The sequence below is a fragment of the Homo sapiens genome, chromosome 11 (genome assembly GCF_000001405.40).
Source record: "Homo sapiens chromosome 11, GRCh38.p14 Primary Assembly".
Classification (NCBI taxonomy): domain Eukaryota; kingdom Metazoa; phylum Chordata; class Mammalia; order Primates; family Hominidae; genus Homo; species Homo sapiens.
In genome coordinates this window covers 75,508,764-75,531,084 of record NC_000011.10, presented here as the reverse complement: position 1 = coordinate 75,531,084, position 22,321 = coordinate 75,508,764, and the positions used below count along the sequence as shown (strand labels likewise).

Genomic DNA, 22,321 nt, shown 5'->3' with positions numbered 1-22,321 from the left:
GACACAAATCAGTAGCTCGAGCCTCTTTCCCTGTAGATGTTCTGGGATGCCTCCCACCCACTTGGGCCACAGCCGGGGCCCAGGCTCAGACCCGCGCCTCTCCTTGTCACCTTGACTCTTAACACAGGCCCCAGTCTGTCTACCTCAGTGATCTCTGAGAAGCACATATGACCTTGTTGTCCCTGTGAAACCCTCCCATGGCTCCCCTCCACCCTCAGCACAGAGGCCAACTCTTGACTAAGACCTTGTGTGGCACGTCCCTCTGCCTGGCTCTCCAGCCACAGTCTCTCTTGACCTTTCGGCCTTGGTACTACAGAATTGATTTTGGTCTCCCAGATATACACCATGTACCTCAGGCCTCACTGACTGAACATTTGATCTTTTCATCCTTACCACCTTTGAAGTAGCCACTATTTTCTTTTTCTTTTTTTTCCCAACTGAGCTAACCGGCCTGAAGGAGCTACTATTTTCATCTCCCTTTTACCCACAGGAATCTCAGGCACAGAGAGGGAAGGTGACTGGGCCAGGATGTGCACCTGGCTCCCAAGCCCACAGCATCACAGCCCACAGTGCCCTACATCCAACCAGCTCTCCAGGCCAGGCAAGTGCCTCCAGCCCCTCTCCACTCCCCATTCCACATACACACTCTTACCAAATCCACCATGCGTTAAGCCAGGCTACAGCTCAGATGCTCACCCTGCACATGTGTCCCGGATCCCCTCGGGACCCCTACTTGACCTCCTTTGGCAATAAACTGGAACATAAAGTTTCCCCCAGGTGTACTGGGGTAGGTGTGGCCCCAGCTCCTACAGCCCTGTTATACATCAGCTGAGGTTAGTTGAGGCCACAGGGCCACTGAGGGCAGTGGAAGACCAGAGAGCAGGAGGGGCAGGCAGGTGGGGGTCCCAGGGATGCCCTCTGGATGTGCGTGAGTGGGCAGAGCAGGCTGGGTCCAAGCCAAGCTTCCCACTCCCCTTCACACTCCCTCCTTGCTAATGCTCCAATGTCCTCCAGATAAATTCCAAACATGAACCCCACCTATCATGGCCTCTCCGGCTCCCCCTCATTTACCTAACACTCACTAGGAACTTACGTGTGTCATCAACACTACCCTAGGTGCCTTACAAAAATTAACTCACTTAATCCTTATAAATATCCTACAAAGTAAGTACTGGGATTATCCCCACTCTACAGATAAGGAAACTGAGGCACTGAGTAACAACAGAGCTAGCACTTGGTAGTGTCAGGATTCGAACCTAGGCCATGTGGCTCCAGAGTCTGTGCTCTAACTGCTCTGTTGTGCAACCCACTTCTCCCTCCGTCATTTCTGTTGCCCTAAATACACTAACTTCTCACCCTCCACCTGCCCATTCCCACTTTCATGCCTTTGCGCTCAATGTTCCGTCTGCCCAGAAGACGCTTCCCTCCTTATCTTGATAAGTTCTGCTTCTTAAATACCCAAGTGTCACCCTCCCTGTGAAGCTGCCCTTGACCCAGCTTGCCCTCCTCCAGCTGAATCAGGCAGCCTCCTCTGTTCAGAAAGCACTTGGTACACATTTCCATGCAGACAGCTCTGGGACTGGGGGCTCCTCGATGATGAGGGCAGGTTCTCATCTGATTGTCCCATCCCTGGATACCCAATGTTTGGTATAGGACTTGGTCCAACTCAGGAAACATTGGTGAATGAGGGACTCGGGCAGCGAGAAATCAGACTCCACCCCTTGCCCTCCAAAAGCTCATAATCTGGTGGGAAAATTGACCCATCAACAGCAGCCCAGATCCAAAGGCATCAGAAGAGGCAAAGGGCCTTCGGTGCCACAGGCTCCAAAGGAAGAGGCTGTGCTTGTCACTGGGAGAAGTGGGCAGGGTTCTCAGAGGCATCAGCTTGTGAGAAGGGCCTTGAAGGATGGAGAAAATCCACTAGGCAAGCGGGACACATGCAGGCAGGAGGGACAGGGAAAGGACTCCAGGCTGGCAGGGACGGAGGCAGAGGGGTAGGAAGGCATGAAGCATTTTGAGGGCTCAATGAGCTCAGTGGAGCCCAATCACCCCACCAGACAGGGAGCTGCAGGAGGGCAGAGCGTCCCTGCCAACGCCTCACACAGGACCTGCATATATGGACGCAGTGGAAGGATTTGTTGGAAGTAGATCTCCAGGGGTGTGGAGCCTCATACAATTCAGTGGCCCTGTTTAAGAAAAACTGCAAAATACTAATATAAATGTAGACGTGAAAGTGAATGTCTATCTGCCATAAGAATGGGAGGAGCTGCGTTTAACAGCCCTGGGGCCCGAAGCTGAAGCTGCTGCCTCCGGTGAGAAGAATGTAAGGAAGGTAGAAGGTTCTTGGGAGAAGTAGGGCATCAGGCAGAAAAGGCTAATGTTTCCGTGTAGCCTCACCCTCGACCACCGCCCAGACCAGCCACCATGACCACCTCTGTCATGCTTCATGGAACTCCTTGGCCACCAAAAGGCCAGATTCCCCAGCTCACAAGACTCCCTCCCCTTTGGAAGAGTGGCCAGAGGGCAAATGTGGGTGTCTTGAGACCTGTTTGCTAGTCACCTCCTGACGACCTTGGGCATGCCTCCCCCTCACACACCCCCAGCGCCTCAGGGGTCATGGAGGGTCTGTTCTGAAAATCTCCTTTTATTCTGACATCCTGCTCATCTGACCCAGCTAAGGAGGCTCTCGCAGCAGGGGCAGCCAGAGAACTCTCTGAGAGCCTCATTCATCTCCCAGTGCCGAGATCTCACAAGGGCAGGCCATGTACCAGGCTGGATGGTGGCGGGTGGGAGGGAAACCAGACATGGAAATCAATCATTACAGAACCTTCAAGCTGAGGGAGCCCAGACCAAAGGCAGGCAGCCTGGGGGAGTTCAGGAAGGCTTCTCGGAGGTGGTGATAAATCTTGGTGGAGATAAATCTTGATAAATCTCATGAGAGATGGGTCATTTATTCAACAATTGTTTACTTGGCACCTACTATGTGCCAGGCTCCGTGCTAGGCTCTGGGGATACAGCAGTGAAGAGAACAGATGAGCATTTGGCCTAGAGGTTCTGCCCTTCAGCCCAGCAGAGAAATGAGAATTAACTCCAGAGAGAAGGGGAACAGCAAAGCAACACATGGAGGAGACAACTGCATGGAGACAGAATGCATCCTGCTTGCTGATGGAGCTGAGAGAAGTTGGCGCAAGTAGAGAGGGAAGTAAGCAATGGGGAGATGAGGCTGGTGGAGTCAGCAGGCAGAGAGCAATAACAAAGGGGCTGGAACGCCAGGCTAGGGATGTAGGGCTTGGTCATGCTGGCAACCGGGAGCCAGAGAGGGCTCTGGACAGAGGGAAGGGCCACAAGGTTTCTTAGCGTCAAGTTCAACAAGTAAAGGCAAAACTGCCTTCTCCCAGCCCTCAGGCTCCAGAGACCAGTCCCAACTTCCTGGGCCCAACTTGCCTACTCCCAACCCCTGGGCCTGAAGAAGACAGGGCACCCTCAAGTCCGCAGCCTGAACTTCAGCCTCCAGCTCACCCTCTTCTTTGTTCTTCCAACCAGTCTCTCAGCCATAGTCTGATGCCATTTCTTTTGCAGGGAATGCCCATGCTTCACCCTCTGAAGCCTGCTGCCTGCCCAGTCCCTCACCTGGTTCCCTGCCAAGTAGCACCTTTATTCTTCTTTTATAGATGAGGAAACAGAGGCTCAGAGAGGGAGAGTAACCTGTTAAAGCCACACAGCTTTACCCTAGAATTTGATAATGATGGGTGGATAGAACTCTGTGCCAGCTGTGTGGTCTCGGGAACGTCACTTAGCCTCTCTGTGCTGAGTCCTCATCTGTGAAATGGGGTACCTATCACAACATAAGGTTGGTGTGAGGTTTACAAAGAGACTGTACTGTGCCACCAACATCCCTTAGCTCCCCAGGCCAGTTAGCGGCTTTCACATGGTCCCTACCCCACTCCCCCGCGGCACACATTCAACTTTCATTCATACATCAGTTCCCTCCAACACCTTCTCTGCGCCTGGTCCTGTGCACACACTGAAGACGGCTCCTTGGCCAAGCACAGGGCTCACACCTATAATCTCAGCACTTTGGGAGGTCGAGGCAGGAGGATCGCCGGAACCCAGGAGATCGAGACCAGCCTGGAAAACATAGGGAGACCCTGTCTCTACAAAAAATTTAAAAATTAGCCAGATGTGGTGGTGCACGCCTGTAGTCACAGCTACTCCGGAGGCACAGGTGGGAGGATCTCTTTAGCCTGGAAGTTCGAGGCTGCAGTGAGCCGTGATAGTGCCACTGCACTCCAGCCTGGGCCACAGAGCGGGACCCTGTCTCAAAATAAAATGAAATAGAAAATAAAGACGGCTCCTGCACCCAACGCGCGGGGTGGGAAGGGGCGGGAGCGGACTGCAGATGCATCACGATTCGAAGTGTGTGTCCTCACACAACTCTGCTCTTGAGTTCGTATTTTTAAAATTGACCACGACGCTCCTCCTCGGGGATGGGCGCAGGGAAGGGAGGCTTGTGGAAGACAAATTCGCTCATTTCCAAAAACTTATTTTTCACCGTTTCCTGAAATCTGAACACTTCCCAGCCCAACTCTCACCTCTGAGCGCCGAGCACTAGAAGCTAGGGAGAAGCAAGGTGTCGGTGGCATCCCACCACTCAGGAGGGCTCGCTCCAGCGTCCCTGGGACCCCTGACCCCGGATATCCTCCACCTTGCCTCGCCCCGGCTTCTTTTCCTACACTGGCCCCTGCTCCTTCCCCGTGACCCCCGCAATCCCCGCACAGCAGTCCCCATGCCCCCGTCCCAGGCAAGCCAGCCCTCTCGCCTCTCCCTCCTTCCGGGTCCCGAGGCCAACCCCCTCCCCGATTCGGCCCGTTCCGAACCCCCAGCCCCGCCATTGTCCTCTTGCAGCCGCACCTCTCCATTGTCCGCCCCGCCCTCTCCGAGGTAGAATCCGCTTTCCGCAGGGCGCCGCTCCGCTCCCACCCTCGGATTGGCTCCTGCGGCCCCACGCGCGAGGCCCGGGAAGGGGAGAGGGCGCGCACCCCGCCCCTGCCCGCAGCCGGCCGGGGGCGGGGTCTCTGCTGACTCCGCCCCGTCCGGGCGGGGCCGCGCAGGCTGGCGCTGGGGCGCTGGGCGGCGCTGTTTCGGCTGAGCTCGGGCTGCGGCTCCGGTGGGGGTGGGTGGCGGGGATGACAGCGGAGGTGGCAGCGGCGCGGCGCTGAGCGAGCGGCGAGGGAGCAGGGGAAGAGGAGGAAGTGGAGCCGCGGCCGGGAGCTCGGGAGTCGGCCGCCGCGCCGAGGTTCGCCCCGTTTTGCAGAGAGAGCCGAGTCGGGACCTGGAAAGACTTCCCCGCGGGGCTCCGGCCGCCGCGCCTCCCCGCCGGCGCCTGCCCTGCCCTGCCCGTCCCAGCCCCGCGGTTCGGGGCGTGCGGCCGGGACGCGCGGAGCCCCGGCCCTGACCCGCTGCGCCGGGACGGGACGCTCCTAACGCCGCCGTACCGGTCCGTGGTTGCAGGGTCGCTCCGCGCCTTTCCGTCAGTGAGGGTCGGAACCCCAGCTCCAGGGCTAGCGCAGTGTGGCCCCAGGCCCTCGCCTCCGGTGCACGGGACCCCGGACCCCCCCAGCCTCTGGCTTCACGAGACCCCAACCTTCAGTTGGAACAGCTTGGAACAGCGCGAGCGCCCGGGAAGCCCTGGCCGGGTCGTGCGCTCGGTGAGGGGTCCTAGGCGGGCAGGACAGTCGGACCGAACCGCCGGGCTGGTGCCGCGAGCCCAGGCTGTCACCTTCGTCCCGCCTCAGGTGAGGGGTTCAGCGCCTGCCCCGAAGATAACACAGGGGTCCCCTTCTGTCCCGGCGGCCTGCGAGAGCCAAGGCTGCAGGTGAGAGCCCCGGATGCGCGGCAGGAGCGGTCCCCGACCCCATCGCGGCAGCGCGGGGGCCAGCGGAGGGAGTGTCAGGGGAAACAAGCAGAGGCTGGAACTGGCTGGGAGGGGGCGCGGGAAGGGGAGGGGAAAGAAAGAAAACGGGTACTTATTGAGCGCCCATTGTGTGCGGGTTCGCGCCCTGCCCCGCCCCGCCCCGCCTAAGCCTCACTGCTACTCCTGAAATAGGTGTTGTGTATTATTATCGGCGCTTGCAGATGGAGAAACTGAGGCTTAACGGGGCTGAGTGACCTCCTTTCACTGCGGGGAGGAGACTGGGGAAGCGGGAGAGGATAGAGGGGGAAGAGGCAGAGCACTTGAGCGCTGATGCTAAAGCTGAGGAAGTGGCTTCTTCTTGCCTCCCGCTCCCTGGCCATGTCACCCGCGAGGAAAGGTGACTCAGAGTTGAGGGTAGAGGTGGGAAGCTTCCCAGTTCCAAAGCTTCTCTCCCTGTGGGCCCAGGATGTGAGAGCAGCAGCTCCTGGCCCTTGTGTGTCAGACTCCAGGGTCTCTAAGACACTCTGGAGGTCCTGAGACGTGCTTATCTGTTGGTGAATTCACTGCAGAGATCCCCAAGTAAGGGTCTGTCAGAGCTGGAGATGTAGCCCCTCTGGGGTGGCTGGAGATGTGGCTCACGTGACTCACCTCCCTCACATTACTAATGGGGACACTGAGGCCCACCCGAAGGGAGTGCCAGTTGTCCGATCCTAAAGCCAGTGAGTCCTTGAGCCACAAGTAGACTTGAGAAAACCTTCCTGAGCATCCTTCAAGGTATGCACACTCCTCCCCAGTTAGGATCTTCTGGATAGGTGGCTGGGGCTTTCCCTATCGCTGATGTGAGATCTGGGCGACCATGTATGAGGCTGTGGTGAGAATTAGTGTGGTTGGTTGCTGGGGCCCCGAGGAATGCCTGCAACCGCATTGCCTTTGGCCCAAATGGAAGGTCCAACCTCATTTTCTTCTGGGCAGGGGAACCTGCAGGATACCTCTGCCCAGGAAGGAAGGGACCTGCTCAAGGTCTCAAGGCTGGGGGCTCCCAGGGCTGGGGCACAGTCCCAGGTGTCTTTATTCCCAGGCAGGGGATGCTTCTGCTGCCCCCAAGGCATGTAGGGAGAGGGGTGTTGTGAAAGAGCCCTTGGCATGGACTCTGTGGGCTCTTATTCTGTGTGGGGACGGGGAGGGGATATGGCCTTGGTCTGGGCCCTGTGGCCTTGGCTAGGCCTAGTTAACCCTAGAGATGCCCAACTCCCTGGAGTCAAGGGGAAACCACCTTGGAAAGCCCCTGGAAGGTGGAGGAGCGTGGTGAGAGGTCTGTGGAAGTCTGAAGCTCAATCCCTGGGGGTGGAAGGGTTAGGGGATCCCAAAAGACAAGGTGACTGAGGGGCTTGGGATTCCCTCTACCCCAGACCTCTGTCTGGGGCTTCAAATCCTCGCAATAATCTCTATGTCTAAACAAAGCTCTTTGATGAAATAATTTCACACCTGTGATCTCCTTTCATGACGTGGAGAGAGCCTGGAACCTAGAGTGAAGCAGAGGAGGGTTGCAGAGTCACTTGTGACCTCTTGATGCATCCATGGTTCCAAGTGCCACTTTAAAATAGGTTATGGCAGGCTGTGTGTTACCTGCTCAGTTAGTGGGGCCATCACATCTGGCTGTCAAGTGCTAAGGGGCATGTTGTACTTGCCAAGACTGGGGAGGTTATTAATGGCCCAGTCTCGTGTGGGCAACTGAAGCTCAGAGAGGTAAAACCACTTCCCCAGGGCCTTTGAGTTTGCTTGTAGAACTGTTTGAGTGCCAGCTGCATACCAGGTGCCCTGGAAGTTACCCAGACGGGCTAAGCGGCAGCCTCGAGCCACAGTAACTGGTGAATCCCAGATAGTGGTAAATCAGACAGACCAGGTGGGCGTGAGTCTACTGTGCCTCCCACTAGCTGAGTGGCACTGAGCAAATCACTTCATCCCTCTGAGCCTATAAAATTAGAATACCTCCTTTAGCAGGTTGTTGCGAGGATTAAATGAGCTACAAAGATGCAGTGCCTGGCCAAATATCCGTTTCCATCCCTATGAAGAAAAGGAAGCTTGAAGTTTGACCAGGAAGTCTGGGGAAATTCTCAGACTTGTCTTCGATTAGAACGCAGGATATGGTTGCAGGGCAGGCTCAGAGACCTGAATTTGCTCAGCTCAGGCTGCTGTGTGGGTCACACTCCCCTAGTCTCATAGCCTCTAGAATCAGTCTGCTTGGGGACACCGGCAAGGGGCTCTGGATTCTTACCCCCTCCCTTGGCTTCCTGCTGGCAGGGCTGTGGTGCCTGGAGCTGGTGTCCATTCCCTCGGGCCCATTGTCTGACCTCCCTAGGCACCAAGGTGCAGTGAATAATTAATACTCCCCTCAGCTGGGGGCAGGCTCAGGGAAATAGCTCTATGTTCAGTGAGCTTCTGAACCCTACCAGAGGAGGTGGGGGCTCCTGTCTGTGCTGTTAGCAGTCTTGGATATGGGGGGGCAGGCAGGATAGGACAGGGAGAAAGTGTCATCTGGCCCCCAACAGGAGAGAGCTGGGGTTGATGATGTCCTGTCTCTTCTGTTGGGGGCCAGATGGTCCCACAGGCAACACTGGGAACCAAGCTAGCTGAGCTAGGATCAAGTGGGCCTCTGATTCCAGAGAGGTGGTGACGGGGAGGAGTAAGGGGGAGGGTACAGGGCAGAAAGGGGTGGAGGGGAGGCCCTTGAGGACTGGAGTAACCAGGAAGGCTTTGTCAGGGAGGTGGCTGTCTGGGCAGGAGCTAGAGGAAACTTGCTGCAAAGACGGGGGGTCCTGACATCCCTCCAAGAAGGAATCCTGGCTGTGCCACCGCCTCACTGAGAGCATGGGAAAGACACATGATCCCATCAGGCCTCCATTTCCCCCTTTGTGAAATGACGGTTGTGATGTCCACTTCTCAAGGCTGTTAAGGATCATCTTGAGGTCCCATGTGTGAAACACACGGCACTTTAGGCACTCAACAAGGGGGTGCCTCATCATGAGTGTGAGCTAGTGGGCTAGTGGCGGGGCAGGTGGGATAGCGTGGTAAGCCGAGAGGTAGGGAGAACTTGGGGCGAGGAGGATGGCTTGGTGGGGTTAGTGAGGGGTGAATGCCCATATAGGAGAGGGCCTTGAATGTTAGACAGAACTCACATTTCAGAAAGCTTAATGGAGCCCCCATTTAGAAGCCTCTGTGGCTCCTTACGGCCTGTAAGATGAAGACCAGGCCCTAGTTATGGCATTCAGGTCCTTGGTCACCTTAGCCTCTGCCCGGCCTTCTGGCTCATTGCTCTGCACTGTCTCCTAAACACACCACATGTGGCCCCATCACAGCCCCTTTGTTTGTGGTTCCTCCCATCAGAACCGCCATCCCTGCCTCTGCTCCACTTACCTCCCCACCTGTCAAGACCTGACTGAGGTCATAAATTCCCTCAGAAACATTCCTGGATTACCCAACCCTCTGGTCATGCCCCCTCTGAATCTTTAACATTCAGCAGTAATAGTAAAAAATAATACCTACTATCCATAACATTTTGCAGTTTGTAAAATGTATCCACACAATACTACAGTGATGATATCAACAACAGCTGATATCTTGAGTACTTACTATGAGCCAGACAATGTGCTAAATGTTTTATAGACACTCTTGTTCACACAAACTCCCTGAGGTAGCTACTGTTATCCCCTAGAAACTGGGGCTCAGAGAGGTACCTGATCTTGCCCGAGGTCACACAGCTCAAAGGTAGGGAGCAGGGAGCCAAGCTGCATCTGTTTGAATTGTAAATCTGTGCTTAGAAGATGTCCTGTCTCCTCACCTCCACCCAAGTACCTTGAAAGCATACTTTGTGTGTAAAAAGCCTGGACAAGGTTTTTTCTCAAGGCTAAGGAAGGGCAGTGTTGGACTGAGCATGGGGCCCAGGAAGGACCTGGGCCCTAGGCCGTGCACAGGCTGGCTGGTTGTCTGTGTGACCTGGGGTGAGTCGGCCCCTCTCTGGGGTCCCGTGTGTCCATGTCTATGGGGAGCAGGGTGGGTTCTGAGCTCCCCTGTAGCTCCAGCTTTCTACATCGTCTTTCGTGACCCTGGAGGGAGGAGGAGGAGACCACAGCACCAGGGCCAGAGGATGTGGTATGACGGGCAGCTGTGATTTTTGGCCTGGCCACTGTCTGGGCCAGCAGGCTGTGTGGGTAGCTGCCTCGCCCAAAGGAGGGTGGTGGCCTGAGCTGCAGGCAGCATGGTCATTAGCTGGCAGAGGAGACCCTGTGATTGGGAACTGGCTGGGCCAGGCCAGGCCAAGTTGGCGGGACTGGAGGCAGGCTGGCCGGGCCACAGCGGGGTCACTGGCAGGGCAGCCAGCTTCTCCTCCCTTTGCCCCCTTTGGGGTGGTGGCAAACACACACTGGGCACCAGAGCTTTGTAGGCCAAGGCTTACCCTTTCTCCTGCTGTGACCATGGGAAAGAGCAGTAAGGAGTTCAACCAGGTCCAAAGATGCTGCCTGCTATAAGCTTCCAGTACTCCTCCCATGCAGGTGGGATCCAAGCCTCCTCTGCTGCTGATTCATGGCCCTCTGCACACTGACTGTGGTCTGTGGATTGGGGTTCTGCTTGGTCTGCTTCCCTTGCTGGCTTGTCAAAACTAGATTCTATGTGCCCCCACCGAATCCTCCCCTCCCTCTGAGTGCCTAGCAGTGTGCCTGGCACAGAGCCACACCCTCCGGGCCAGGGGAGGCAGTGCAAGCTGCCCCATGGACAACTTGCTCAACTTTTGCACCTCTGTTTTTTCCCTGTACATTGGGGCTGATAATAACTGTTATTAAATGAGATGAAGGAAGTGGGGTGCCTGTCCAGGCCTGGCACACAGGTGGGTACTCCATCAGCATGAGTCTTCTTGCCCATCCCCTCGATGGCTTCGTGAACGAGCAACTCAGTAAGAAGCTGATGGAAGAGTCCAGTGAGTGATGGCTGGAGGGAGGGCGTGCCAGATGGCAGGGAGGCCTTCCCTTAGGGGGACTTAGCTGGGGTTTGCAGATTCACAGTTCCCACCACCTTCCCTGTGAACAGTGGTGTGTAAGCAGGTGCTGTTGGCCTGGAAGGGTCCCGAGCTAGGTTCAGGGGAGGGAGCAGGACTGGGATATCTGGGGACTTGGGTTTTCTTCTCAGGCCTACGCAGAAGAAATGACCCAGGTGGGAGAAGCCGTCTGGCGTCCAGCTAGCAGATGCTGGGCAGAGAGTGTGAGTTCTTCCTTAAAGGGAAGCAGCATTTATTTGGTGCTGCTCACACACACATCCAACCGAAATGTAACATGGTTGGAGATTCTGGTCTGTGGGGGAAACAGCATTAGACAAGGAAACACACAGATGCAAAACTTCCAAATTGTGAGAAGCAGGCTCCTGAGGCAGGGGCCGGTCCCATCAGTATCTGTGGCTGGTGGCACAGGGTAGGGCTAAATGACTTGGGCAAGTGATTTAACCTCTTTGGGCTTTAGTTTCCCCATATGTAAAATGGGGATAATTACAGCATCTTCATCATAGAGTTGTGAGGGTGAAATGAATTATACGTGTAAAGCACTCAAAAAAATGCCCAGCACATAATGAGCACTCAGTGCAGGTTAGCTGTTATGATCTGTATCTCCAGCACCTCACAGAGGATCTTAGAGAAAACAGGTGCTCAGGAAAGGCGTTTGGAATGAATCCCAGGCAAAGGGCAGCTGCTCCGTGGAATGAATGAATGAACAGCCTGGTAGGGTTGGGAGGACACAGAAGCAGTGACAACACAGAATGTGACAGGGAAGGCCAGGGGCCTGGGGTTGCCCGGCGCTGGGTGGGGAGGGGAGTCAGGGAAGCCTTCCTGGAGGTGGTGCCCATGTTGCTGACTTTGGACCTCTGTGAGATCAGCACTGAATGAGCTGAGAGAGGAGTAGCTCCTCTCCAAAGGTAGCTGGCAAGGAGGAGAGCTTGGGCAGACCCCAGGACCAGTGGACTCCACAGGCCTCTCACTTCCCACCAACCCACACCATCTCTCCATCTGTGACATTCTGCTTTCAGGGCATGAGGAAGGCGGAAAGGCAGGTGGGGAGGAAGTGTGGGCTGCTGGTCTGACAGGCTCAGCTCTTCCCAGGCTTGTGACCAAATCTCCTGCAGAAAAGGATAAACAGGCCTGCTTTGAGTTCTTTTATCTTCTTGCTCCCAAGGCACACCAGCAAGCAGAGGGGGTCTTCCAGCGTTAATCCTGCAGCTGTTTAGCTTTTGAACGAGTGGACTCTTTAAAAAAAATGCCACGAAGAATGTCTCACTCTCTCACCCAGGAGGCTCAAAGAGAAACTTCTCTCCCACTGACAAGGGAGCTGGAACCCCCAAGTGTCTTAAAGAAGCTCACCCCAGGGGCAGTCTGAAATCAGGGGACCCCTCATGCTGCCTCGATTTGTTGCTGGCTGTGGGGCCTTGAGGACACCCTTATATTTTGCTTGGCTTCTGCCCATTTTGTAAAATGGGGTCAGGGTAATAAATCCCTTCTTTCCTTAGAAAGGCGTGTGGCAGGAGAGTTTCAGAGGTGGGAAGGGCAGCAGTGGGCATCCAAGCCCATGGCTTTCAAACTTTGTTTCACATTAGAATCATCTGGGAAACTTTTAAAAGTCCTGCAGGCCCCACAATCTCTGGGGCATGACCCAGGCATCAGTAGTTGATGAAGCTCCCCTGGTGATTTCAGTTTGAGAGCCACCTGGCTGCCCTCTGCAGCCTACCTCCCACAGTGTCCCAAGACAATACTTGCACATCCCCAGGACAAGGAGCTCATTCCTTCCGAGGCTGCTTCCTCCCCCCAGGACCTTCCTGCCTGGAGAGATGAGGGGAGTGGGAAGACTTGGTAATCCAGTTAACCTGGGTTCCAGCATGCAGCTGCTCCCTGCGTGTCTTCTCGGAGCCTCAGTTTCCTCATCTGAAAAATGACAATAACGATCTCTCTGAAAGGGCCACAGAGGCCAGACGAGGCCACACATGGCAAGCACCCACCCCATACCTGACGCCGGGCTGGACTGAGACCCTGAACTCCCTGCCCCAGCCACCTGAGGCCAGGTCTCTGAGACTGGCGCTGGTTAGGGTGGGATCAACACCCAGCCCGGGGGCCCTTCCCACTGTCCCCTTTCTCTCTAAGAGATAAGACAAGGCAGTAAGCATTTTGTTTTGCTCAGTTTTGCTTTAATGGTCAAAGTGTCAGACTCTCCTTAACAATGAAGCCTTGTCTGAATCTGCTTGTTTTTCCAACCCGGACACCCAACTGCACCACCTGCTTGGGGCCCCTGTCCCACCTGGGAGAACTGAAGAATGTCAGAGGATTTTTTTTTTTAATCTAGGGGAGGGTGTCCAGGGAACATTGGAGGCCTCTGTGCAAATCCTCACCGATAATTGACCCCACTTAAGTCATCCAACTCTGCTGTGATTGTGAGCCAGTTCACTAAAATTATTTCAAGGTAGTTACTAGGTGTTGAGCTAAACCCCTATCAGTGCCAGTGAGGATGGCACCAGGCTCAAGAGGCCAAAGAGGAGACCCAGAGCCAGCGAATGAGCCATGGGGTTTTACTACGGGCTCACACACAGGGGAGAGAGTCCAGTGGCTGCTGGCTGGACCGAAGAACCACAACCACTCGCAGGAAGTGTGCAGTTTTTTTGTTTTTGGTTTTGGTTTTGGTTTTTTTTTTTGAGACAGAGTTTCGTTCTTATTGCCCAGGCTGGAGTGCAATGGCGCGATCTTCACTCACTGCAGCCTCCGCCTCCCAGGTTCAAGCGATTCTCCTGCCTCAGCCTCCCAAGTAGCTGGGATTACAGGCAAGTGCCACCACACGCAGCTAATTTTGTATTTTTAGTAGAGATGGAGTTTCGCTATGTTGGTTAGGCTGGTCTCAAACTCCTGACTTCAGGTGATCCGCCTGCCTCAGCCTCCCAAAGTGCTGGGATTATAGCTGTGAGCTACCGCCCCCCAGCCTAAAAGCTTGCAATTTCTATAGCATTTTCACTTAGCACCTCCCCCAACAACTTCCACCTAGCAACCTCCATTTACCCCAAACCACAGACCTCAATCCTCTGTTTGGCCCGCAAGTTCCATAGGATGGGCCAAGAGCTCAGATGTTCCTCATAGATAAGGAGTGGATCTCCGGGTTGGCTACTCCCAGATTCCTTAGCTTAGAACCAAACTGCATTGAGGTGCGCCTGCCATACAAGGTCATTCTCAGGGCTTGCTCAAGTCCAGGTATCACTGTCCAACGTGTCTACCATACAGAAGACAGAAAACTTATGTTGATCCTGGCTTTGTCACTTACTGGCAGGATGACCCTGGAAGAATCATTTTATCTCTTTGAGCACGAGTTGTTTCTCCTATAAAATGCATTTGTAGGAAGGACTTCCTGGGATTACCTGAGAAGCAAATAAAATTACTGGTATGTGGAGCACAGTGCCTACCGTAAACTAAGCACTCAAGAGCTGTTGGTGCATGCACTTGCTGGGGAGCTGACCCCTGCCTCCTGCCCCTTCCTTCACTGGCTGGTCCACGCTCCCTGTCTCCCAGTCTGCTCCCCTTGCCCCACCAGGCCCAGGCTGAGACAGAGGACAGAGGAGGCCTGCACATGTAATCATGGGCATCCCTTCAAACTGCTCTTCTTTAAGACCAGAGGAGGCTCTGAGGACTGGACAGAGGAAGACTACAAAAGGGGCCATCAGTGGCAGTGCTTGGTCTCCTTGCCTGGGCACAGCCAGAGAGGGTACATCAACCCAGAGTGACTGGCTCAGGCATTAGGCGTGTGACAAATCAACACGGGATAGTGCAGCACCGAGGGACTAGCAGTGGCTGGGAGCAGTTACCACTCAGGGCTGAAGGAGCAAGGGAAGTGGGCAGCTATAGGGATAGGGGCTGTGGGCCATCAGTACAGGGACCCAGTCAACCCAGGAGACCTCACAGGGGATAAACTTCAACTATCTTTCCTCTTTCCTTCAGTCCCCCATTTATGCTTCCTGTTGGGTGTACCTCTCTGAAAGCCAGCAGCATGGAGCCCATTACATTCCACAGAGGTCAGTTCCCAGGGCCCCAAACAAGGTAGAGAGTGGCTCTGGAGAAGCAAACCAAAGACACTTCCTCACTCTGTCCATCAAAAGCCCGGGAGTCCACTGAATACACTGTCCTTAGGACACAGTTTAAAGATCATCTGTTTTTACCATACCCCTTAATGAAGGGGCTCTCAGCCCTTACCCCAAAGATGAATCAGCAGCCGAGCTGCCACAGACACCTCGGCGAGAGGAGTTTTGGAGGTACCCATCTCTCCCTCTCTGCCTCCTCCACCAAAGTAAGCTATAGATGGCTTCTGGGGTGACCCTGCCAGGGACAGGGGAACCTCTGGAGTGGAGCAGAAGTCACAGGTAGGCTAGTGTCAGGCGAGTTCAGGTGCACAGAGCAGCGGCCCCAGCCCTGCTGCGACTTGCCCATCCCAGAGCTGGCCATGATGTGGCCACTTCACACACCTTCCTTAGAGCTGGGCAGTCATTGCCACAGTTCTGGGGATAGCCCTGGACCCAGAACATGTTCCTCATGTCCAGGGTGTTAAGAGCCATGCCACTCTGAGTTCAGAGGGTCTCCCAGGAGCCTATGAATGTCAGGTAAGAGGAGCGTGGGGCTGGGCAGGCCTGGGACAGGCCGTGCAGCAAGTGCCACCAAATGCTGCCAGGCCTTGTGATGGGGAGTCTGGGTGTGGAGTTAGGTGGGGGGTGTGGTTCTTGCCAGGCAGGGAGCAGGAGGCATAATGGTGCCAGAGACTGAGCCTTGCCCAAGAGGAGGCATGGTCAGGGAGAGGACAGAAGATATGACACTTTGCATGGAAACCATGTGGGAGGCCCCCACGGGGTGTTGTCTGCAGGGGCACAGCCGGCAGGTCTAGGACACAGAGCCCTTTACAGCTGGCTGCCAGCGAGCACTCCCTCTCCTTCCTGAAAGGAATGCCCCTGGCATCTCCACCAGCTCACACCTAGGCATCTGAGGTGACACAGTGAGATGCCCATGGCAGGTGTGGTAACACCTGGATCCTCAGAGACTTCCTGAGAAGGGAGGTATGTGGGCCTCGGAGTCAGAATTCTGGCTTGGAATCCTGGCTCTGCCTCTCTTGAGTGGAACTTAGAAGACATGGGCAAGTCACTTAGCCTCTCTGAGCCTCAGTTGCTCACCTATAAAATTAGAGCAGCAACACTTACCTTCCAGGCTGGTTTGAAAGTAAAATGACATAATGAATGAGACAGCATCCTGTATTTCAGAGGAGATGCTACAGTTGCCCTCATCATGCCCCCCTTCTCTGTATGCTGTTCATGCTTAATGCCTCTGCAGGAAGTTCTTTCTTGAGACTAATTGAAGTCCACTCTGCTGCAATTGGAGCCTTCTTCCTCTTGCTGGGGACTCTGCAGAGGCAGACTGAGCCCCTCCTCTGTCCAGATGTGCCCTGTCAGTGCCTGCAGTGAGTGAAGCAGAGAACTGGGTGACCAGGTGTTGATTTTCACCTTGGAGCTTGGGGGTTCAACTGTCAATGGCCAGAGCCTCTTGACCATGGCAGGATAGGGGGTGCATCATCCTAACTCTTCACACTGTTCTTCCTCTCTGTGCTTAATGCATGCTCCAAAAGGGGTGACTTTGGGCCCGTGCAGAGAGCCCTGGGCTGGGCCTAAAGGCCTGGGTCCTGGCACCTCCGTCTCACTGTGTGGCCCAAGGCCAGTTAGCAACCATTTCGGGCCACCGTGGGCCTGCAAGGATGTCTGTGCTCTAGGGCCCAGGTCCCTCCAGTGAAGACATATGTAGTTCTGACTGAAGACCCTTCTCCTGCTTCTCCCCCTCTGGGACCCTAGCCAACCTGGGAAGACAGCAGATAGGGTCCTGCTGGTGGCTGGCAGTGGTAGCAGCTGAGTCCATCTCTCAGACCAGGACTGCCAAGGGCAGGCCGAGAATTCAAGGTTAGATGGGTGATTCCTGGTAGGTAGGGTTTTGCCTCCCTCCTCAAAACAGAGCCTGGTGCTCCCCTTCCTACCCACTCAGCTGAACTCACCCAGCTCAAGGGCAGTCATGTTTGAGTCTCTCCTTGGAGTGGCTCCTTTCCCACATGAGATCCGCTTTCATCCCTCATTTTGCAGGTGAGAAACCTCGGGCTCAGGCAGGTGAGGTGACTGGCTTGAGGTCCCACAGCCTGTCGGTGGGAAGTGGTGAGGGTCCCTGCGGCAGCTCCCATGGCACCTGGGCCAGGCCGTGCCCTCTAGGTCCTCAGCAGGAGTGGAGCACAGGAGAGTCAGGAGGCTACTAGCCAGGTGGTCTCCTGGTCTAGGAGGAGGCCCTATGGGTGCCAGGGGAACCCTGCTCTGTGGGCCTTGAGGGGTCATCTGGGGCTCCTGGGATTGCTGGGTCCCTTTCCCTGGGAGGAAGTTAGCCGAGGAATGCCAGAGGTTGAGAGCGAGGAACCCAGGAGTTCTAGGCTGTGACTAGTTCTGAGTGCCCCTGTAAACTTCAGTGTTTAGTTTCACGGAGAGTCAAGACTGACTTTTTGTTGACTTTGGACACATGACAGTTTAACTTTACGAAGCGCTCTGATATCTGTGATGTCATTGCATCCTCACAGCAGTCTGTGAGGAGGAAGTGTGGGACTTGTTTGGGAGGGCAGGAGAGTGTGGGCTCTGGAATCAGACACACCGGAGCTTACACCCTGACTCCCACCGGCTCTCTGACCTCAGGCAAGTTGGTAACCAGCCAAGTCTCAGTTTGCTCATCTGTGAAAGGGACAATTTACTCCACAACAAATTGTTAGCAACACCTGCCTTGCTGGCTGTGTGCCTTAAGAGAACATCTGTAACTGCTGGGTCAGTGTCTGGTGCCATGTAATAGTTTTCATGATTTTTATCAGACCCACTTTATAGAAGGGAAGATGGAGGCTGAGAGAAGGAAGGTGACTTGTCTGAGGTCATGTAATGATTTAAATTGGTCCTCCAGACTTCTTGTCTGTGAATTTTTTCTATAAAACCTCCCTCTCCATCCTCAAGTGACCCGATACCTCATTTATCCAGAACCCTCCACGTGTGATGCTGTCTAGACGTGGCATTGTGTCCCCAGTGCCCAACAGCACTTGCCTGGTACACAGTATGTCCTGTGCATAGATGTGTTGATGAATTCATATAAACTGTAAGAAACATTTTTCCAGAAGAAGCAGCTAAGGCCTGTGTCTTGCCCTAAAGACTTCTTTCTTTCTTTCTTTTTTGAGACAGAGTTTCGCTCTTGTTGCCCAGGCTGCAACCTCTGCCTCCCAGGTTCAAGTGATTCTCCTGCCTCGGCCTCCCACATAGCTGGGATTACAGGTGCCCGCCACCACGCCCAGCTAATTTTGTATTTTTAGTAGAGACAGGGTTTCATCATGTTGGTCAGTCTGGTCTGGAACTCCTGACCTCAGGTGATCCACCTGCCTCGGCCTCCCAAAGTGCTGGGATTACAGGAGTGAGCCACCACACCCAGCTCTAAAGACTTCTTTCTGCTCTCTATCCCATTAAAAACAACTCTAACAGTTTTGGTTGGAAACCTTTGCAAAAGAGATTGATCACTTTCTTCCTCTGAACAATGGCAACATGGACGGGTTGAGGGACAGGCCTTAGGAACCCCGCCTGCCTTGCTGAGAATGCCGACGCGGCTTGACCCCTGTGCCAGATGACCCTGGGCTGCTGCATGTGTTCAACTCTGGTTTCTGGCTCTTCCCACCCTGTCGGTTCCTTTATTCTGCTGCCCACAGACTTGCCTCCAGAGCGCTGCATCTCTTTCCTCTCCCCTCGTGTGTGTGTGTGTGTGTGTGTGTGTGTGTGTGTGTGTGTGTGTCCTTCCCAATTTCATGCTTCTACCAGTTAGGGACTAAGAAATGGAACAATTGACCTTACTAGAATTGGTTCGTGTATTCATTCATACCTATTCAACCAGTCAGCCATTGGTGAGCCTGTGTCACACTGGGGATTCTGTCTGTGCATTCTTCCATGCATCCATGTATCCATCCATCCATCTGTCCTGATTGAGGACCTCTGCAGTGGCTTGTGATCAATCAAGACATTACCACACCCTCCTGGCCATGCATGCAGTAAAATAATGATGCACACAGCAAATGCTGGCACAGGACTTGACAGTTTGTAATCTGCCTCTGCTTGCATTACCTCAATCTTCACAACAGCCCTGAGAATAGCATTATCCCCATTTTGCAGATGATGAAAACAAAGCTTAGCAGGATGGGGTCCCCCCGCCCAATGGCCAGCAGTGAGCACAAAGTCACAGTTGGAACTCACTCAGGTCTCTGGCCCACTCTGTTACCTTCTCCCTCCTTTGCGCTACGTTTGGAGGCTGTCTGATGCCATGTTCATTATCTGTCTCTGTCATGAGCTATTGGTGGTGGTGGCTGAGGTTGGACTTTTTGCCTCTGTCAAATGGTCAGTGCAGGGAAGCATGGCCCTGGCTGGGTGGCAGCCACAGACACCCTTCAACCTGCAGACCTTGTCCCGCCTGGACCCAGGCGCACTATCTAGTCCACACTCCCCAAACTGTCCCCTGAGGAGCCCTAGTCCCGTGGCATGGGAATGGATTCAAGGATGCATGAGCATACAGATTTGGGAAACGCTAGGTCACATAAATCCAAACAGGCCTTCTCAGGGTCTTTAATGTATTAATACGAATTAGGGACCCCAATGGGTGGCAGAGTGTGCAGCCAGCCTTTCCTAAGCTTATTTGAACATGCAACTCCTTGGTCAAAGAGCAGGGTCTGGACACACCGTCTTGAGAATGCAGTGAGAAGATCTCATGGGCAAACCCTGACCTTGCTGTTTTGTGCAAGGAAACCCCCAGCCAGAGCTAGTTTCCTGGCCCAGGACTGCATTTTGAGAGAGCATCACAGGGAATACTCTTTAGCCCCAGAAAAGATTCAGTGATAATGGTGGAACTTCAGGCAGCAGGGGCAAGTGGCCGTGGAGATATTTTTATTCTTTCATCCACCAAAAGAACATATCTCAGACATCTACTGTGTGCCAGGAACAGAGCCAGCACTTGGAAATGCCAAGACAATCTAAGTCTCTTCCATTTCATTTTTCCCCCACAGTGCTGCATCTCTTTCCTCCGAGGGTTTTCAAAGAAAGACAAGCCTTAAATACATGCCTTAAAAGGAAGAAGTGATCTGTTAATTGCTCTGGGTCGTTGCTTTGGGTGGGTGACACATTTACTCAATTCAGCGGAGCTGTACCTTCTTAGTCCCAGGTCCTGAGGGGCAGAGAGTGAGGCAATTCCAGGACCCATTACCCTGGGCAGAGTGCACAGATGTTGCAAGGGAGGTCAAGAGCATGGGGAGGCCCGGAGGAGGAGGAGGGGGGAGGGGGAGAAGGGAGCGAGCTTCCTCCTGGGGTCCATCAGTCTCAGCTTGGGGTTGGGGGGCACTTAAGTGAGGCTCTGCGAAGAAGAGATGGGGGAGTGGGGGTGGATGGGCTCCAGGTGGCTGGGAAGGGCATTCTTCCAACAGCTGGAGCAGAGGTGAAAGGAGGCAGCACATGACACTGTGTCATGAGGACCCTGTAAGGAGCCTGTGGATGTGGGAGCAGAGGGAGGAAAAGGAGGTCAGACGGGGCTGGAGAAGTTTCTGGGGCAGATTTTGAGGGTCTGAGCTCCAGCCAAGTGGGTGCTTACCTGATGAGGAGCCTCTTCAGAGCTGGTCACATTCATCCCAGTGTCCCCAGCACCTGGCTGGTGCCCAGTGGGTGTTTGTGGACTGGCTGGACTCTTCCTCTGTAGGCCTCGGGTTCCTCACATTTGTGGTCAGGCGAGGTCACCTGGCACCTCCCTTCCTACTCTGAAGAGCTCTCAGGAGTTCTGGATGCTTGTGCAGGGGAAGGCCTCACCACTCTCCCTGTCTCCTGCCTCAGGGTTCTCTGGGTTGCCCCAGCAGGGCTGGGGCCATGGTGCCCTGAGTGGGGGACAGCCCTCCCGCTGCCAGGGAACTTTGCCCCTCGTGCTTTCTCCCTTCAGCAGTTGGCCCCCTGAGCCCAGAAGGACATTCCTTGGTGTCCCGTGACTGGGAGTGGCAGTGGCATTGAGCGCATGCTGCAGCTTAGCACGGGGAGGGAGCTCTGCTTCCATCTATGTGAAAATGGGCAGCCAGGTGTGGTAGCTCATGCCTATAATCCCAACACTTTGGGAGGCCGAGGCGGGCAGATCACTTGAGGTCAGGAGTTCGAGACCAGCCTGGCCAACATGGTGAAACCCTGTCTCTACTAAAAATACAAAAATTAGCCGGGCTTGGTGGTGCGTGCCTGTAATCCCAGCTCCTCGGGAGGCTGAGGCAGGAGAATCGCTGGAACCCAGGAGGCGGAGATTGCAGTGAGCTGAGATCGTGCCACTGCACTCCAGCCTGGGCAACAGAGCAAGACTCCATCTCAAAAAAGAAAAAGAAAATGGGCAAGTGACTCAGCCTCTGAGCCTCCGCCTTCTTGTCTGTTAATAGTAACTTCCACACTGGACTTTTATGAAGGTTCAACGAGATAAAGTTTGAACATGGATTATAAACTGACTTACTCCACAAACAAGTAAACAGTTCTTGGCATTAACAATATTCATTTGTCCAATTTATATTAATCCCCCAAGCCTCTGGGCCACTCACCTCTTTTCAGGAAGTGCTCCCTGGCATCAGCTCACTGTTCTCTGTGCAAGCTGCCCCTGCTGGTACATTTTATCCAGGCCAGAGCAATAGGAGCCTCTGAATTATGTACAAGTCGCACACACAGGCCAGAACTGTGTGTCTGCAGCCCTGTCTGTGTTTGAACAGAAAGAAAGATGGTGCTGTCCTTCCTATCTGCTGGGCCCAGGGACCAGATACCGCCCCTTCCCTGGCTGCAACCCAGGGGTCTCGGCCTCTGAGGAAGGCTGGGAGCACATGTCAAGAACACCCCCCACACCCAACTTGTCTGTCCTGTTTACAGTCTGGGTCTAACATGACCTGCCCACATACAGGAGCCTCTCTGTGTCCTGCATCCCTGGGTGGCTGGTGGGCATAGGGCTTGAGGGGCAGAAAAAGACAGTCACTCCACATCCCTTCCACTTCCCTGTTCATGCCAGGAGCTGTCAGTCGGGATGACCAAGATCTTCAATGTGGACACTGCTTTATTTCAGCAGGGCCTCAGGTACCCCCTCTGGGAGGCCTGCAGCCTGTCACAGCATGCTGAGCCAAAGCCACCTGCCCAGGGTAGGTGCTGGAGGGACAAGGCTAGGTTGTGCCCAGCACCCCTTCGCCTGGAATTCTGGGGGTCCCTCTCAGTGCCCTTGTTCCTGAGCAGCTCCAGATGGTCCTGGCCCTATGTGGGGGGAGTAGGGGC

At 54.6% G+C, this 22,321-nt stretch overlaps 1 protein-coding gene and 1 long non-coding RNA gene across 13 annotated transcripts in view, besides 5 other annotated features; one reads left to right on the top strand and one right to left on the bottom strand.

Moving 5' to 3' along the window:
• Window positions 4,817-4,876: a silencer, noted in NCBI's record as "silent region_3767". NCBI's record gives its function as "represses an Ori minimal core promoter by ATAC-STARR-seq in GM12878 lymphoblastoid cells {active_cell/tissue: GM12878}" and the evidence as "EXISTENCE:reporter gene assay evidence [ECO:0000049][PMID:35858748]".
• Window positions 4,927-5,446: a silencer, noted in NCBI's record as "silent region_3766". NCBI's record gives its function as "represses an Ori minimal core promoter by ATAC-STARR-seq in GM12878 lymphoblastoid cells {active_cell/tissue: GM12878}" and the evidence as "EXISTENCE:reporter gene assay evidence [ECO:0000049][PMID:35858748]".
• Window positions 4,927-5,793: a biological region, named in NCBI's record as "H3K4me1 hESC enhancer GRCh37_chr11:75236337-75236837".
• The window catches only part of GDPD5 (glycerophosphodiester phosphodiesterase domain containing 5), a 91,302-nt gene continuing 74,124 nt past the window's right edge, over window positions 5,144-22,321 (top strand). For 5 of the 12 annotated variants that reach the window (XM_047427654.1, XM_047427645.1, XM_047427653.1 and 2 more), the window contains exons 1-2: window positions 5,144-5,296; window positions 5,512-5,875. The gene's annotated coding sequence lies outside the window, so the exon portion shown is untranslated. 12 annotated transcript variants of the gene reach the window in all.
• Window positions 5,293-5,793: an enhancer, noted in NCBI's record as "H3K4me1 hESC enhancer chr11:75236337-75236837 (GRCh37/hg19 assembly coordinates)". NCBI's record gives its function as "activates a minimal SCP1, AML or CMV promoter by ChIP-STARR-seq in naive and primed H9 embryonic stem cells {active_cell/tissue: H9 hESC(naive and primed)}" and the evidence as "EXISTENCE:reporter gene assay evidence [ECO:0000049][PMID:30033119]".
• Window positions 7,721-7,770: an enhancer, noted in NCBI's record as "active region_5268". NCBI's record gives its function as "activates an Ori minimal core promoter by ATAC-STARR-seq in GM12878 lymphoblastoid cells {active_cell/tissue: GM12878}" and the evidence as "EXISTENCE:reporter gene assay evidence [ECO:0000049][PMID:35858748]".
• Window positions 9,228-18,971, bottom strand: LOC105369389 (uncharacterized). Its single transcript, XR_007062784.1, has 6 exons — window positions 18,891-18,971; window positions 17,002-17,139; window positions 16,163-16,414; window positions 14,248-14,341; window positions 12,812-12,869; window positions 9,228-12,070 (listed from the first exon to the last, which is right to left on the bottom strand). It is a non-coding gene; the product is annotated as an uncharacterized LOC105369389 (long non-coding RNA).